At 33.7% G+C, this 19505-nt stretch overlaps 1 long non-coding RNA gene across 1 annotated transcript; it reads right to left on the bottom strand.

The window, feature by feature from the left end:
- Nucleotides 1-1570: 1570 nt before the first annotated feature.
- Nucleotides 1571-5601, bottom strand: LOC124904596 (uncharacterized). The gene is made up of 3 exons (XR_007067038.1): nt 5562-5601; nt 3288-3516; nt 1571-1787 (listed from the first exon to the last, which is right to left on the bottom strand). It is a non-coding gene; the product is annotated as an uncharacterized LOC124904596 (long non-coding RNA).
- Nucleotides 5602-19505: the final 13904 nt, after the last annotated feature.

The raw sequence follows: 19505 nt of genomic DNA, 5'->3' as shown, positions 1-19505 counted from the left end.
CCACATAAAATAACACATAAAAGAACATCAAGTTAAGATGCAGAAATAAACAGTGTTATGCCATTGTCTGTCTTTGCTCTTATGAAAATGGTTAACAAAATATTTAAATTAAAGGAAAACTCATGCAAATCTGCTAAAGGGAAATTATTGTCCACATGTAGTATATAATAAGAAATGAGTACTTGATACAGTACATATTGAACTTGACCAGAGAAATTCTCCAAGGAACACCCTATATCTGATCCTTTTCTTAAAAACCGTAATGTTCCAGGGAAATTATTATAGAACCCCTAAACAGAAGCCTATTAAAAACAACTAATTTGTAATGAGACCTGGAAGCAAGAGAAGCCTTGAGTCATACAGGGGGTTTATGATTTAGACTTATTTTTGTTATCCAAATACAATGTAGTGTTGAAAAACAATGATAATGACAATATATTGTAATTTGGGGAGTGGCTAAAATAAACAGACAGACAGCAGGACATAGAGTTGGTACACCAGCGTAGTGGAGACAGCAACAGAAAAGATATGCAGCAAAACCACAAGTTTGACTAGTATAGAGTTTGCCAAAACAGAATGATAGACATAAGAAATTGACTCCCTTTTTTTACAGGTTCACCATTCCCTGAGAAGGTGAGACGCAGCTATGATGCTCCTCTTTTAGGTTATTCTAGGGTTTCTTGCTGGTTAACTTCAGGTAGCTTTATCTCCAAACTGATAGTGCAATTTTATATCAACCACTTCTACGGCTTAACATTTCTGTTTTGAATGGACTTAGAATGAGAAGGAATGCTTGGATCTGACAGATAATTTAATGACATAAGCAAGAATTAGAGATACCATTTAACAAAGCAATAGATGAGTCATAAGATATGAAGATAGGTTTGCTTTTTTCCTGTACTAGGTTTTATGTTATTCTGGTCATAAGAGTCTTTTTTTTTTTCTTAATTTGAGGAAGTAAATTTTTGGAGGTAAGTTCAAGATTCCTTGGAATTTTTTAGATATATTAAATTCAAATAGCAACCAAAACATGCTTCCAGGATAATAGATTAGCATACGTCACACCACTAGGACACACCTACACTTCAATCTTCAAAATCCTGAATCAATCAGATTCAAGCATCTTCTCTGGAAATTGTTAGACTGTTGACTAGTTTGGGGATTGTTCTGGAGGTTCAGAGTGAGATGATAAATTTGAACGTTTCCTTTGGGTCCCAGGAAAACACATATAAATGTCTGGTGGTATGTGACATAACCCCATAAACTGTGTGTCATTCTTCCTTCCTCGCAGAGTCTGGCTTATATCTAAGAGGCAGAAAATGCGAAATACATACTTTCTTCGTTTTTCTTGTTGAAATGTATGTAATGGAAACAAATGCTGGAAATGTTTTCTTACATAATAAAGACTCATCCATGAAAGCACCCCCTTGACAACTGCAGAAATTGTTGTTCCTATGTGTGATGCCTGGAAGTAATGGAGCCATCCTATGTGCAAGAAGAGAGGCATCACCAGCACATTGAAAACTGCAAAGTAACTTTATGTTTAATATAAAAATGTTTGTCTATTCACCTCTGGAACTCTCTGCCTCTGATCTTTTCATCAAATATTATAAGGCATAAGTCTTCAAGTGCTAGTTTTCTGGCTTCTGTTGATTCCCTTCCCTGATGCCCATCCTGGTGAAAATGAACAATTGTTCCAGTTTTCATCATCTTTCAAAGGCATCTTTTCTGCAATCTCAAATGTCCTGTTCATTAGCTACTGATTTTATAGTTTTGATCCCCTGGTTCTGTAATAAGAAATAATGTCAGAAGAATTATAGAAATTATAAAAAAGGAAGAAAGATTATTAATATATAAACATTTATATTGTAGCTCACATTTTTAAAACTCAAATTTAGTCAGTTTCTTATTTTTAGAGCTACAAATCTGAGCAACTTCTTCAATTATATCCTGGTAAAAATTAGGGTGACAGTTTCATCTTAGGCATTTAGAATGGCAAATGTCAAGTTTTCATGAACCTAGGTGTGAAACAGGGCTCTGTGTTAGTATGCCTGTGATGTGGAATCTAACAGCAATCTACCAGATGATAAGAACCAGAAGAAATTTTTCATTTGATGCAAATTATATCTCTGAATAGATCTTTCTATTATTAATATTATTAAACAGAGAAGAAAAAAGCCCTCAGTTTTAACCTATGAAAAAATTCCACAATGACAAAAAAAGGATGGTTATATCATTCAAGGATAAGATAAAAGGGGGCTTTGAAAAAAGAAAAATGTTAGAATATATCTGTCCGTGTTTTCAATGTAATTAAATATAACTTGGATCTAGTGTAATAGATGAAATGTGGAATGATGAGACAAAAGACATATCACAAAACTTCTCGCTGAGAGTCAGATTGAAATAAAGTGGAGACGGATGAGATAGGGAAATATTGAAATTAAATTAAATGCAGTAGCAGGGGAAAATGTCTGATACTTTAAGAAAAGGAAATAACAGCGTTGATACTATGGAAAGTGATGTGAAGAAAAAAAAATATGTCCCAGAACAGGGAGGGTGGGGCAAAGTGATGAAAATAACAAGCACAAAGGGTATGTATGGAACATCAAAAACAGAAATACACCTAGAGAAAATTAGTGCTCCCTAGAGAGACCTTTGAGACTCCTGGAGTCTAAAATAATCTCCCAATTGACGCTATGTCCCACATACATGGCATACTGGTGTAAGGTTTGGGATGCTAAGCTTTGGGCAGTTCCACCCCTGTGGCTTTGCAAGGTTCAGCCCCCATGGCTGCTGCCATGGGCTAGAGTTGTATGTCTGTGGCTTTTCCAGGGGAAGGGTGCAAGGTGCTGGTGGATCTACCATTCTGGGATTTGGAGGATGATGATCCCCTTCCCATAGCTCCAGTAGGCAGTGCTCCATGGGGATTGTGTGTGGAACCTCCAACCTTCTACTTCCCCTCCACGCTGCCCTAGTAGAGGTTTTTTGGGGCAGCTTTGCCCCTGCAGCAAGCTTCTGCCTGGACACACAGGCTTTCTCATACATCCCACAAAATCTAGGCAGAGGCTGCTAAGCCTCTGTCACTCTTGAATTCTGTCCATCTGCAGGATTCACACCACATGGAAGCTGTCAAGGCTTACAGTTTGCACCTTCAGGTGCTGGAGTTGCAGACTAAGCTGTAACCAGACCCCTGTGAGTTGAGGCTGGAGCCAGAGTGGCTGGGATTTGGGGAAAAGTGTCCCAAGGCTGAGTAGTACCATGGGAATAACGCACAAATACATTCTTACCTCCTAGATATCTGAGTCTGTGATGAGAGATGCTGCCTGGGAGATCTCTGAAGTGTCTTTGAGGCCTTTTCTCCATTGTCTTGGCTATCAGCCCTTGGCTCCCTTCCAGTTATGCACATTTCTCTAGTAAGTGGTTGCTCCACAGCCTGCTTGAATAACACTACTTAAAGAGCTATGTATTGCGCTGTCACATGGCCAGGCTGCAAATATTCCAATTATGATCTGTTTCCTGTTTAAATATAATTTCAACCTTAAGTCATTTCCTAGATCCCATGTTAGAGCAGAGGTTGTTAGAAGCAGCTAGGTCACATCTTGAATGCTTTGCTGTTTAGAATTTTCTTCCACCAGATACCCTAAAGTATCACTCTAAATTTCCATCTTCCACAGAGCCCGAGGACATGAACACAATGCAGTTAAGTTATTTGCTAAAGCGTAACACATGTTACCTTTGTGCCAGTTTCCAATAAGTTCCTCATTTCCATCTGAGACCTCAGCAGCCTATACTTCACTGTCCATATTACTATCAGCATTTTTCTCCCAACTGTTTAATCAGTCTTTAAGAAATTAGAAACTTTTCTTCATCTGTCTTTCTCCTTTTGAGCTCTTCAAATTCTTCCAAATTCTGCCTGTTACCCAATTCCAAAGTTGCTTCCACATTTTCAGCCATTTTTCTAGCAATGTCCCACTCCTGGTACCAATTTTTTGTATTAGCCCTTGCATTGGTATAAAGAAATGTCTGAGACTAGGTAATTAATTTAAAAAAGAAGTTTAATTGGCTCATAATTATGCAGGCTGTACAAGATGCATCTGCTGTACATCTGCTTTTGCTGTGGCCTCAGAAAGCTTCCAATCAAGGAGGAAGGCAATAGGGGAGCAGACTCTTCCCAGGGCCAAAGCAGGAGCAAGAGCAAGAGTGTGGGGGGAGGTGCCACTCACTTTTAAATGACTAGATCTCATGAGAACTCACTCACTATTATGAGGACAGCACCAAGGGGACAGTGCTAAACCATTCATGAGAAATCTGCCCCCATGATGCAATCATCATCCACTAGGCCCCACCTCCAACACTGGGGACTACAATTCAACATGAGATTTAGAGGGGTCATATACCCAAACTATATCAGGCCCTAAATAAACTTTAAAAGTAGTCTTAGCCACAAGGACTGTAACTCCTAGGTAAGTCTTAGTGCTGAACTGAGTTCAGAGCCAGTAGACTTTGAAGGCACACAAATTACTGAGGCACCAGAAAGGATGGCTAAGGCAATACTTACACCACCTCTACCCCTACCCCTACCCCAGGCAGCACAGCTCATGGCTTCAAAACAGACCCCTTTCTTCCTCTTGAGGAGAGGAGAGGAAAGAGGACTTTTTTGTGCATCATTCTGATACCAAATCAGACACAGGAAGGTAGGGCAACAATCAGAGTTGTGAGTCACCCTTTCCATATCATAGCTTTCAGTTAACATTTCTAGACACATCCTGGGCCAAAAGGGAGCATGCTGCTTTGAAGACAAGGATACAATGCTGCCAAACCTGTCCTGCAGACTCTGGCCAAGCAATGAATGGAAGAATTACTCCTGTGCCAAACCTAAAATCAAAGGCCAATGCGGAACCTATGACATGGTGCTTGCTTTGGGAGATCAATCAGGCTCTTGGTGGGAGATTATGGAAGGAGAAAGTTATACAGATTTAGTTTCTCTTCCTGTAATACTTTTAATAGAATGGTGAAATGGCTTATTGAAAATTCAGTTATGGCACCTGCTAAAACAGTCCAGTGAAGGTAGGTACTGTCCTACACAATGTAATATATGGTGTTATTTCTTTCATAATCAGAATACACAAGTCTGAAAAGTAAGGAGAGGAAGTGTGCATGGTCCCTCTTACTAAATCATTTAACTATTAGCTCACAAAATATTTTTTTTTCTTTTCTCACAGTCTTAGATTTTTTTTTATCTAGGGTTATTAGTTCTTATTGGAGAAAAACTTTCAATATGGCTTGTGACATTGGTCTTGCTATTTTACGTTGAGTGTGACAACAAGATCCACATGCCATTGAACCAAAGATAGGACAGAATGATTGATTCCACATACCAAAGTGAAATAAGGCTGCTTGTGCTCAACAGAGGCAGGGTAAACTATGAATGGAATCTAAATCCTTTCCTGAGTACCTCTTGAAACTTCCATGGTAAATGGTAGATGTCAATAGAAAAATACAGGAATCCAATAAATGCAGATCTTAATGGACTCAGGTCCTTCAAAAGTAATTTAACTTACCCCATGAAGCAGATAATTCTAAACAGCTGAGATGTTACCTGAGGGTGATGGAAAAAAAGGTGTAGGTAAATACCAAAGGGAACAATAAATATCAACTATAGCCTTTTGATCAATTGCAAAATATAAACTGCATTACCAGAGTATATTTCTGTTATATTTCCATCAAACAAACTATTATCCATTTATGTATTTTCTTCTATGTATGTTTGCTGAAATAAATTTCTCTCTTATTTGGAATAAGGCTTTCTGGTAATGCTTAACTTTACTCTCATAGATCATCCAAAGATCACTAGAAGCTGTATCCATAACTAAGGAAGAAGAGATGTTGTCTGGAATTCCTGGAGTTGAGATGGTTACCATGACTGTTACACTTTGTGTCTACCCTTTCAGAAGAGATGAAGGATGAGAGTGTCTCCAATCTCTATTTTTGTTTCTTTCACCTATCTATTATATCTCTTTACACACATAGAAAATAGTGTAAAGAAAAATATCAACATTTTAAGAGTGTTTGCTCCTGAATTAGGAGTTATGACCTACTTTTCTTTCTTGTTTGCATGCTCCTGCTCTTTTCAAATTATCTACAATTCACTTCTGTGCTTTCTATTTTTGTTACTATACGTATTGTATTTTCTTATTATGTTCATTGACATAATAAGGAAAATAAAAAGGTAATATATGATTTCCTCATGTTAGTCAAAAGCATAAAGTTTTTGTATGATTGAAGGATTAGAATAGATGCTAAGTAGAACAAGAGAAAACATTTACTTGGTAAAAACACATGTTTAATGAAACAAGGTAATAATAAATTAAAAATTACATAAATACTTAACTCTAAGGGCTAAGAAGGTGGGAAAGAAGAAGAAAACATGAGTTCATTCAACAGTTCTGGTGGTGGTCCAATACTTCTGTTGGATTTGGAATTACTAGTGTTTCTTGTGTAATTATGTCTTAAAAATTTGATATACGTTACATGCATTCTCTTATATTTATCAAAAACGTCCTCCTTAATTATAACCTTCTATCCTCCTTGACATTTTAAACTTAGTCTTATGATATCTCTCCTTAAAATCATGTAAGGAATTATTTCCTAGATGCTGTATTCTCTCCTCATTCAGGCTTCCTCCCTCTTTAATTTTTCTTTATCCAGTTGGTGACATCTTTCTTAATTTAAACTATATATTCACCAAGACTTTCTATTATTTATCTGATTCTCCTTCCGAATCAATTGAAATGATCATTCTCATGTGACTTACTGCAAAAAACAGTGTAACTTTTCTTGAATTCCCAAACAAAATGAAACACCAACAACCATCTACCCAGTTCCCTAAAGAATTCTTACGCTTAATTTTTCAAATTTTTCCATCTTCACATTCACAGCAGTGGTTTAGAACACTGACATAATCTGCCTAGATTATAACTGCAAATTCTTAAATGTACTCAACATTTCATGCTCTAAGGTATAATCAAGGTGATCATTATAAATTGAATTTGTAAATTTTCTTATGACCCTTAATGGCATCTTGTTATAAGATAAATTGATGGTAATGAAATAATATGCAATAGCTAAACATGTTTCATAATGCTATGAAATGATATTAGAAAATATTCAGTGTATATTTGCAATTAATGCAACTCACAAAAACTTTATATAATTTTGATTTTAGTTTTTAAAAATATGTTTATGCATACATGTAAATCTGCCATCTATTTCTCCATTTATCTATGTACGTATTTTTTTCACCATATCTATTATTTCTCTTTGCACACATAGAAAATACTGTAGAGAAAAACATCAACATTTTACGAGTGCCTGTGCCTGAATTAGGAGTTATGACCTATTTTTCTTTCTTGTTTACATGCTCCTGCACTTTTCAAATTATCTACAATTCACGTCTGTGCTTTCCATTTTTGTTACAATATGTACCTATTGACATAATAAGAAAAATAAGTGAAAAATATAAATAATATATGATTTCCTCTTTTCACCTCCTAGTTAATAATGAATTTTTCGGCTTGTCTTCAAAAACAACTAAAATACTGCAGAGAAAAATGTACCAATGTTAGATCCTGTGAGATTCTATCTGATTTAATCCCTGCTCCATTGTACCAAGTAAATGTCAGCTAACTTCACATTGCCAGATGTGAGGCATTTATCTATGAATGTTTGCTCATTTGACAATATTAGCTCTGGCTTAAGTCAAATGTTACTTATAGGAGGAGGGGGAAAGCATTGATGTTTAAAGCCTCCTCAGCCATATATATATATATATATATATATATATATATATATATATATGCCATTAATACACACACACACAATCACACACAATTTTCTCTGCTTATTTCTAGATCATATCCAGCACTTTCTGCTCTGCTTTTTCTTCAAATAGAATTTTAAGCGTTTTCATTGCAAATTACTTTATACAAACCCTACCATCTAATTGGTCGTAGTGATGTGGCACTACAGTGGTAGTGTGAGCAGCCACAAGATTTCTACAATAGATTTGAATGATCACTATTAAGACATTAGAACACCAATTTTTCCTCTCACATCTCTCCCCCATTCCCGCCCTACTCAACAAAATTTAAAAAGTGCCCCATGAACAAATAGAGCATTTAGCATGCTTTAAATTGGTACACTTAATAATTGATGTTGTTTAACCATTTCCAGGTCCTTTAGCCATAACTGTGCTGAGTCTTATTTTTTAGCAAATGGTCAGTCAAGTATATACTATGTGACAGGCACTATTATTAGTTCTGGAGATAACATGCTTAGTAGGAGAGAATCCAAGTCGTCAAGGAGCTATCTTTCTGCTTTCCCTAAAACAATATAACTATTTCCTCTAAGGCAATAGTTTTGCATTCATGCCTATATATTCATTATTTAATTAAGGCTTGCATTGCATATAGTTCATAAAGAACATTTATTTCTCTCTGCCTTCTTGAAGATTTTTGAAGAAACTAGGGATGGCCACTCAAATTGATCTTGATAAGAAAGAAAATCTACATTTCTATATTGTGCCTACTTTCTTCCAAGTTTTAACAAAAATTTATAAATTTATACTTTAAATTATATAAACCATATTTGAGAAAGATATGTGCCTATATAGCCCAAACATTTTCTATCGCAGTAAAATATTTGGGTATCCATCATGTTAACTTATGCTTCTACATACAGGTTGTAGCTACTAGGAAACTTATAGATGGAATTAAAAATAAAACCAAGGCTGTCTACAGGCAATAATATTTTGTTCACTCGTTGAAAACACGAACAAATTTGCACCTTAAAAGTCAGAAAGACCTGAGCTCTAATCTTTCCTTTGCCAATTAGCATGCTATAACCACTAATAAGTTACTTTATTTTAATTTAACTGGGACAATAATAATCACCTTACAGAATTTTGAGAAGTATTAAATGAAATATCACCTATAAAGTGACTATCATCTGAAAATTAAAGCACTCAATAAATAGTATCTGTTTCCCTCTTTCTATAAATAGTTTAGGTTGTTAAGAGGAGTTTAATCTAGTGCTTAAGAGGATAGGCACTGGAGCTTTTTCTGGGCTTAAATTCTAGTCCCAAAACTGTGAAACTTGTGTCCTAATTGACAAATCCCTTGACTCTTAGACTGAAGGGATTAATGAGTTATGATATTTAAAGAGCAGTACTGGAGTGTAGTTAGGAAGTTGCTATCATTTTTATTATTACTGTTACTATAATTAATAAAGGGAGTCCTTTCCACTCAGAGATAACTTCTTTGTAGCTGCTATGTGTGCTAATCTAATAAGACGTGGAAGAAAATAATTTTTCCAAGTCTTATGTCTAAAATGATATCAGAAATCAATCAATATTTGTATTATTGATTTGATTCAACATGATCAATTCCTTTTATTAAACTCTAATACTTACTCTGACTTGGGGAGCTCATCAGAGAACCAAACTATCTTGTAATTACACATAGGAAATTAATTTCTCTGAAACAAAAACAACAGCATAGCCAAAACAAACAAAAACAGTTATTACTTCTTTTAGTCGTCAGCACAGTATATCCTCCCCATTCTGGAGTTTCTGGAGCTGCCCAGGACATTTCAGTTGACTTTGCTTCAGTTCATTATTAGCCCAGCTATTTCTCACCCTTTTCTTTCTTTCTAGTTTCTCCATCCCTTTTACTCATAAGATAACAATTTCTCAAGAATTTCTTCAGCAGTATTTCTTCCCTGAATTCTATTTCAGCCTGCTTACCCAGCTATTAGTCTTCTTCAATGAGAATTGAACCTAAACAATTTTGTCAGATATCTACTTTTTATTTAACAAGTGCTTAAGGGAATATCTTGCTGTTATTATTTTAGTCAACAGTGAAAAAAACTCTGTTACATTGTTTATTTTCTAGCCTTATTTTGAAAATAAAAATTTCAAATAATGCAGAAATGTAATATATGTGTCATATGTATTTACAGATATAAAAAATTTAAACTAATAATCCTCAAAAATATTTCCCTATTTTTTCTACCCTTTAAAATAAAGTTATGTATATTTTCTAAATAGCAACACACAATATTAAACATGAATATTTTGAGGTGATGGAATTAGCAATGTCTTAAACATGAAGATTAGTTTTGAACCCTCACATGTGCATGGATGCACACATATGCATAGACATTTATATTGTGCATTCCTTACTCCAACCTAACATCCATCCATGTCAAACTCTGAATTGTGTTAGGTAAGAGGGATGAAATTGCTGATTGAAGCTTCGGTAATAGACAGAACACATTACTCTGAGGGCTTCAGGAAAGCTTTTTACTCAACTCTCTTCCCACAGGAGTTTACATTTTCTGTTTTATCTCTGGGATAGAGCTTAGTGACAAGCACACATTGAAAGTTTGTGAGAAATGCCATGGGATCTGCTAACAACATTCAGGATGCAGAGATGGCATTTGAGTCCCCAGCATCTTGCTTCTTCTTTTGCATTAGAAATCTTAATCAGGTGAACCTATAGGGTAGTTGGAAAACAGGCTGCCTACATATCTGTTTCCACAGCAAAAAGATGCATTATATTTTTAATCAAATTTAAAGGTTAGATATCGGAATACTTTTCATTAAGTTAGCACGCCTAAAGCAGTAAAATGTCTGAGTTTTAAAATTAACTACATAGAATTTATAGTTTTATATAATGGTTGTACTATGTGGAATCATTTCACAAATTATGTTTTGCTACAGCTCTTTGCTTCATGATTCTGGGTAATTTTCTCTACACCAAGTAGCCAGCATGTTTAAAATTATACTGTTATGATATTTATTTGGCATTTTCTGAGAGAAAAATTAAGCAGTTGACTATTATCTGTAATCAACAACCAAGCTTGAAATGGGTACACATTTGTTTGTAAATTACATGTAATTTAATTGCAATGTTGCAGCAAATTTTCCACCATTAAATATGTCTACATTTCCAAGTCTAGCTGGGTGGCATAATATTAAGAGCAACGCAGACTTTTTTTTTTTTTTGCATAGTGGTAACTACAATATAATACATTTGGTACTGTGAAATTAAGAAAGGTATGAGAAAAGAATATAAAAGCAAATGATTGAATTGGGAAAATGATAAAAAGTAATCCCAGAAGCTGTGAGTTAAGCTGCATTGTGATGTTAGCACTCTAAGTGATGTTAACTCTTAATTGCTGAAATTTAAATTAATTTTGTATTGCATATTTTAAGATTCACATAAAACAATTGATTTAAATTTGAAATATCTGCAGTACAAAGCATTAACCTCACCCTCCAGATAAGATGTTTAAGGTTAAATATAATAGAAACATAAATCTTCTGTAAGTCTTATTAAAGGAGAAATATCCGCAGTATCTGAGTTAGATTTCTTTCAACCAAAAACTCCCATTCTGAAATGCTAGCATTCTGACACAGTGATAAATTGCTGGAACAAATGCTAAATAGTTAAATGGACAGGTGATGGATGGCCTCATAAGCCTTGCAGGGCAGGCTGTGTAAGATACTAATTGGTTCTGTGGAACTGGTTTTAGTCAATAAATTCGCTTGGGAGATTTTTTTTGTGTTAGACATCTTTAAAGAATGCATTGTTGTAGGTGACAAACACTCGCAACATATTAGGCCACCAACAGCTTTATTACATCCACTGTACAAGCTATCTCTTTTCTCAATTTGAGCCTATATTCAAACACTAAATATTCATTATTAATGAATCACTGGTGTAATTCCTTATGGGTTTTCCAATTTACCATTTGACTTTCAAGACTGCCTGTTTCTCTCACTCCAAAAATGTCCTTATTTTTTTTCTTCTTCCAGGAAGCATACCAACTTCAACCTTTTAAAATAAAATTTAAGTCATAGAATTTTTAATTATTCTATAAGGTCACAACATAAATAACTTTTTTCTTCTAAAATTTGTGAAATGTTAGCAGATGTAAACATTTTTAGGACAACTTGGTTCTCTTTTCTTCCTCTTTTAAAAAGTAATAAAATATTGTGTAATATTTACCAAATTCCTTTTCAAATTCCCAGAAGCTTTGTAGTGGAAAGAAAAAAAGGAATAAGAGAAAGAAGAGTGGAGAGAAAGAGGGGAAAAAAGAAGAAAGGAAGAAAGGAAAAAAGGAAGGGAGGAAGAGAAAGAAGAGAGGGAAAGGAAGAGTAAAGAAGGAAAGGAGGGAGAAAATATTAAATTCTAATTGACTGTGTCCCTTAGGAAGTCACTAAGAAACTACAAAAAGCTTTCTTGAATTAATAGAGATAAATGCTAACAAGAATTTATTCATTCTACATAATTTTCTCAGACCTTTTTGTACATTAACAGAGAAGGTCAGTTGCCAATTCTAATAGTCCATTGGCGAAGGCAAGTTCTTTTGAACCCCCAACTGTTTCTATTTTCAAAATTTCCAAGCATTCTGTCTTTCAAGACTGTGCTAGGACTATGAGTAATTCCTCTACCACAAATATCCCACCTATGCACAAAGAAGAAATTAAACATTGTGGAGAAGATAAGCTAACAGGCTCTGGAGATGAAATGACTGAGTTTAAATTTAACTCCAGGACTTAACACAGTATGAACTTGGGCAAGTTACTTTATCTCTTTGTGTTTTGGTTCCTTCATCTATAAAATGGAGATAATATTGGTACTTAACTCATACGTTTTTAAGTGATTTATATATACGTATATATCATTTGCTCAAGCATCCAGAACATAAAAAGCACATAATAAATTTCAGTTATTATCATTTTATGTATTTGTTTTTTCATTTATTTAAAAAATTTACCTTTGTAAGCCTGTGAAATAAAATTTTTAGAGTAGAGATTTGGCTTATTACAATAATCATTATGAAGTGAAGCAAAAATTGAATGGGAAACGACATGTATCAACTTATACATATAATTACATAACTATAAAATATTTGCCTTTCTGTTTTTTTTTGTTTTTTGTTTTGTTTTTGAGATGGAGTCTCACTCTTTTGCCCAGGCTGGAGTACAGTGGTGTAGTCTTGGCTCACTGCAACCTCCACCTCCCAGGTTCAAGTGATTCTCCTCCTCAGCTTCCTGAGTAGCTGGGATTACAGGCACCCACCACCATGCCAGGCTAATTTTTGTATTTTTAGTAGAGACGGGGGTCTCACCATGTTGATCAGGCTGGTCTCGAACTCCTGACCTTGTGCTCCACCGCCTCGGCCTCCCAAAATGCTGGGATTATAGGCATGAGCTTTCTGTTTTAAAGAAAAATTTTAGTATGGTCATATGTTCCTTATATATCTATGACATAACACCAAATTAGTGCTTGTTACATAAAATGAGACTTTATTTTATTAGCTTATACATTTCTGATAGCATGTGGAATTATTCTGGTAACACTAATTCTGCTGACCTTAGTTAACCTGATTGCTCTTTTTATGTTATGAATTTTAGTAGAAAATCAATCTTTTCTGCTTTTTACAAACAGCATAAATCTAACCATACTGTCACGTAATTTTTTTTAAAGAATGCTCATTGAAAGGGACAACTTGAAACAAACAACCAACCAAACAAAAACACACACCTGTTAAAAATACATTTAGCTAGCTGTAACAACATATACATCAATTAGAATCAATCCTAACTCACAGTTACTTAAACAAATAGGAGTCAGCATTTTTTACAGATGATGAAATAAGGAAGTAGGCATCTTGTGACTTTAGTTTAAAAGCCCAGTGATACTGGTCCCAGAATCTTGTATTTCTCTCTTCCTTTCCATCTTAATGGCATGAAGGTTGTAGCAGCTCTAGGTTTCATGTGTGAGTTTAAAACAAGAGGACAGGCTTCACTGGTACCAACTGCATCAGCTTCTAGTTTAAAAAATGCAAAACCCTCCTCAAAAGTTTTCAGTAGCCTTCTGTTTGCATTTTATTGATCAGATATGTGTCACATGATACACCTCAGAAGTGGGAAAAATTATTATATAGCCTTTCTAGTCTAGAGAGTGTAAAAAGCAAGAAGGAGTAGTGGATATGTAATAGGTTAGGCAATAAACAATACAATCACAATAATATTCATTTTTGCAGAAATCACAAAATTTGATAATATTTGAAAAAGCTTTTCCCCTTTCATCAAATAGGCTTTTTATAAAATGATTACCACCCATTTTTTAGTCTATATCAAAGTTACATTGTATAACTTTTGTTATAGGACCAACAGGTTTATATGGCCACTGCACAGTAACATACAATATACTAAGATGGCAGGGTTTGCAGCAGAGAAAGAGTTTAATGATCATAGGTCACCAGGTAAGGAGATGGGAAGAAACATTCAAATCTATCTCCCCACGGATTTCTGGGCTGGGATTTTTCAGAGGATCATAGAGGGTGACGGGCTGAAAATTGGGATTGTTGACTGATTAAGGTAAGGCGGATGAAACTTTCAGAATGAGAAAACTGCATTCCTTGGTGAGTCACCTCCTGGTGGGAGTTCTTCAGACCAGTTGACGTCAATAGATTCATCAGTATGCAGGACATGAAAGAATATCCCAAAGGGAATAAAGTGTTTCATAATATTCAAATTATCTATAGAGTAGTAAAGAGGAACTATAATCTTGAATCTATGGGATTCTAGAACAACAACCATCAAACAACTGTGAGGAAGCAGGTCAGAGAGCAAGCTGACCTAATGATTAATCCTGAATATGCTTTAAACTTGGTTTATTTCTCCACGTCTCTTCTTCCCTGATTAATTTTATAAAGTTTATAAGAACGGTTTCACTTTGGCCTATTAAGAACACTATTTTTTTTTTACATTGATGCATAATAGATGTACATAGTTTCAGGGTGCATGTGATAATTAAATACATTCTTATAATTTGTAAAGGTCAAATCAGTGTACTTAGGATATCCATCATCTTAAATATTTGTCTTTTTCAACATTAGAAACTAAAATTCTTATAGCTATTTTGAAATATACAATAGATTATAATAAACTATAGTCACTCTACTAATCTATACAACACTAGATTTCATTTCCTCCATCAAGCAATATTTTTATATTCATTAATCAATCTCTCTTCATACACCCTGCCCTACCTTTCCTGGTCTCCTGTAATCACCGTCTATTCTCTACCTCTATGAGACCTATGTTTTTGAGCTTCCATGTATGAGTGAGAACGCAATATTTGCCTTTCTGTGCTTGGCTTAATCCACTTAACATAATGACCTCCAGTTCCATCCTTGTTGCTGCAGATGATAAGATTTCATTCTTTTTTATACCTGAATAATATTTCATTGTTTATATATAACAAAGTTTTTTTAATCTATTCATCCATTAATGGGCACTTAGATTGATTCCCTATTTTAGGTATTGTGACTAGTGCCACAATAAACATGGGAGTGCAGGTATCTTTTTTATATATTGATTCATTTTTTTGGATATATACTTAGTGGAACTACCATACAAACTGATGAATCATATGGTAGTTTTATTTTTAGTTTTTTGAGGAATTGCCATACAGTTCTCTACAGTGGTTCTACTCATTTCCATTCTCACCAACAGTGTGTGAGGGTTCTCCTGTCTCCACATCCTTGCCAGAGCTGTTATTTCCTATCTTTTTAATAAAAATCATATTGACTACGGTTAGATTATATATATCTCAGTATAGTTTTGATTTGCATTTCTCTAATGGTTGGAGGTGTTGAACAATTTATTTTCATATACTTGCTGACCATTGGTATGGCTTCTTTTGAGAAATGTCTATTCAGGTATTTTGCCTGCATTTTAATCAGATTATTTGGTGTTTTTGCTATTGCCTTGTTTGATCTCCTTATGGATTCTGGTTACAAATCCCTTGTCAGATGGGTAGTTTGCAACTATTTTATTCCATTCTGTGGGTTCTCTCTTTACTTAGTTGATTTTTTTTCTATGTAGAAGCTTTTTAGCTTGATATAATTCTCTTAGTCTACTTTTGTGTTATTTACCTGTGCTTTTGAGTCCTTACACAAAATTTATTTGCCCAATGTCCTGAAGGATTTCTGCAATGTTTCCTTCCAGTAGTTTTACATTTTCAGGTCTCATATTTAGACCTTTAATCTATTTTCCATTTGATTTTTGTGTATGGCGAGAGATAGGGTTCCAGTTTCATTCTTCTGCATAGTTATTCAGTTTTCCAAGCATCATTTATGGAAGAAACTGTCCTTTCCCCATCGTAAGTTCTTGGCACATTTGTTGAAATCAAGTTGGCTATAAATGCATGAGTTTAAATCTGGGCTTTCTTTTTTGTTCCATTGGTGTATGTATCTGTTTTTATGCCAGTATCATGCTAATTTGATTACTGTTATTTTGTAGTAAATTTTGAAGTCAGAAAGTATTATGATAGCTCCAGCTTTGTTCTTTTGCTCAGGATTGTTTTGGCTATTAAGGGTCATTGTGGTTTCATTTAAATTTTGGATTTAAAAAAAATTTCTGTGAAGAATGTTTTTGGTATTCTAATAAGAATTGCATTGAATCTTAAATTGCTTTAAAGTATTTTCAAAAGATTAGATGAAAATGAGGTTACCTTCTTAAGCTAAGTAAGAATTAAATGACCCAACAGACAATAGCAAAATGATTATTACCCTTATGCTTAAGTTAATCAACACGTTCACTAATTTATATACCATAGATCAAATCCAGAAATTATATATAGGCCTCCCTAGAATCAATATATTGCTGAATTGAATTATCATAATTTGTTTTTTAAAATGGTGCATTAATCTCTTCATTATTCATGAATTAGTAAAGAGTGTTGTATGTTTCTACTAGTAGAAAAACTTTGCAACCATTCCAATCAGAATATAAATACTATAAATTGTAAACTGGATTTAGCGAAAAATAGTTCAAAAAGGTAAAACATCATAAGGAAGGCTAAGGGTTTATATTAGAAAAATTTCCTCAGTAAATAAAATTAAAAAGAATATGCATGCAAAAAGCTGAATCAAAATTCTGAATCAGTAGTTTATACTTTTTGAGTAACTTTGTTATTTTATTTTAATTATTAATGGCATAAACCACATTGATTTTAATGGCAAATGTGATCAATTCTTTGAGAAACCACCATTAGATATTTTTTGACTTTTCACCAAGAAAAACAATAAAGTTGTATTTATGATAATGTAAAAATCATTTTTATGTAGTTGTAGTTCACTTGCTGACAAAAAGTACACTAAATATGTTATACTTCCTAATTTATAATTTGGTTACATTTTTCTTCATTTAAAAATATACAGTCAAACAAACACGAGCCGTATAATAATGATTAATATATAATAATAAAATGACACATTAGTGTCTAAATATATTCTTATTAAAGAATCATCATAGAATTAGTTTGTTATAACTGGTAATCAATCAAATAGCCCTTTTATTGACATTTAAACAACATGTGATATTTAACTACCAACCCAATAACATTTAAGAGAGGTGAAATATACTATTAAATAGCATCTCTGTGGTGTTTTTAAGAAAATAAAAGTCATTATTGCTATTTATTACGATCAGAAATATAAGAGAAAAAGCATGCATAAAGATTTTATTAATTTTCTTGTCTAACAATGGAATTTAACTCTGTATGCTATAATCATAGTGGCTAACATTGCAATTTTTCATGAAAATTAACAAATTAGTATAAGCATCATAATGATGAATTATGAAGAAATTATTTTAAGCTTAAGAACATTCTATGCTTCAGTGGGGACATCTAAGAAACAAAGAAGAATTGATAATATGACAGGACACTAAAAAGAGGGAAACAAAATTAAAAACTGGTAATAATTAAGCACAAAAGAATGTACTCCAACAAGAGTTAGAAATTTTATTCTTAGTGTATTACATTCACATATTATACAGACATCCTCAACTTTTTATCTTATAGGCTTTATATAGTTACATAATTCTCTTTCTTGTTACTACATAATGCCATTGTTAACAATCTATATTTAGAAAAGTTTTTGGAAGAAAAATTGATGTATATATATATTTACGTATTTAAAACATAACATTTGCCACTTTTATGCATGTTTATATCTATAAAACCATCATCCAAATCAAGATAGCAATATTTTCATCACCGCTTTATATAGCTCTTTCTTCTTTTCCCACCCCCACTTTTTCCACAGGCAACTATTTACCTGCTTCGTCACAATTTGTTTGCATTTTCTGGGGTTTTATATAAATAGAATCATAAAATATACTTATTTTCCCCTGACTTCGTTCTCTCAGTGTAATTATTAGGAGGTTTATATTATGTGTAGAATTCATTCTGGTTTATTGCTAAGTTGTATTCCATTGTATGAGTATACAGTGGATTCCCATTTTTGAAGTTAGTTATTTTCTGTAAAATTCCCATAAACAAGGAATAATTAAATCCTGAATCATTTTCTGCCAGCTTTTGGTTTCAATATTTACCTCAACCAAATCAATACATAAACCTGTTTTATGTGGGTTTATGTTTATGGACACCTTATTAAATACATATTGTTGATTTACTAACACTGAACTCCTGGCCAATAGCACTATCACTCATGCCTGAATGATGCTTATTTAATAAGCGTATCAACTTTATGAGGCACATCACTAAACTGCTGTTTAGTATATGTTAAATATACTGCTAAAAGGAGACAACATGAAAGTTGAAACAAGAAGAAAGAGCATCATCTGCCTTCAATGAGAAAGTGTTTGGTGGGTGACTCAAATTTTTCACAGTTCTGTGCATGCACGTACACACAAATGCCCACGAAAGCTCTGCAAGTATTGACTTTGGGGTTACAAATAATTAGCCCATAGCCAGATTCATAGATATGGAGTACAAAAATAACAAGAATTGACTGTATCACCATTTGTTTATCCATTTACCTGTTGATTAATATTTGCATTGTTTTTCTGGATTTCAGTTACTAAAAATAATGCTACCATGAATATATGTGCACAGTTCACATAAGCTTTCTTTCCTTAGAGGTAAACATTTAAGAGCAGAATGGCCAAATAATATAGCATGTGTAGGTTTAACTTTAGGAAACTGCCAAACTATTTTCCAACCTAGTTGTTGCATTTTACATTCTCACCAGTAGGATATGAGAGTTTCAGCTTCTCTGCAGCACTGCCAATACTTGGAATGATCAATGTTTTTAATTGTATCCATTCCAATTGTGTGAACTTGTATCTCATCGTGGTTTTAATTTGCATTTTCCTAATGACTAATGATACCGAATATCTTTTCATGTGCTTTTTGCTATTATTAATCTTTTTTAAAGTGTCTTTTCAAATTCAATGGCCATTTTCAAAAAATTTTTTGGTGAGTTTTGAGAGTTTGCCTATATATTCTGGATACAGAAAATATGCTTAGCAAGTATTTCCTTCCAGTCTCTGGCTCATCTTTTTGTTTACTTTGTAAAAGAAGAAGTTTTTATGTTGAGAAAGTTCATTTCATCAATGT

Source organism: Homo sapiens, chromosome 1 (assembly GCF_000001405.40).
Source record: "Homo sapiens chromosome 1, GRCh38.p14 Primary Assembly".
NCBI lineage: Eukaryota > Metazoa > Chordata > Mammalia > Primates > Hominidae > Homo > Homo sapiens.
This window is presented reverse-complemented; position numbering and strand designations above follow the sequence as displayed.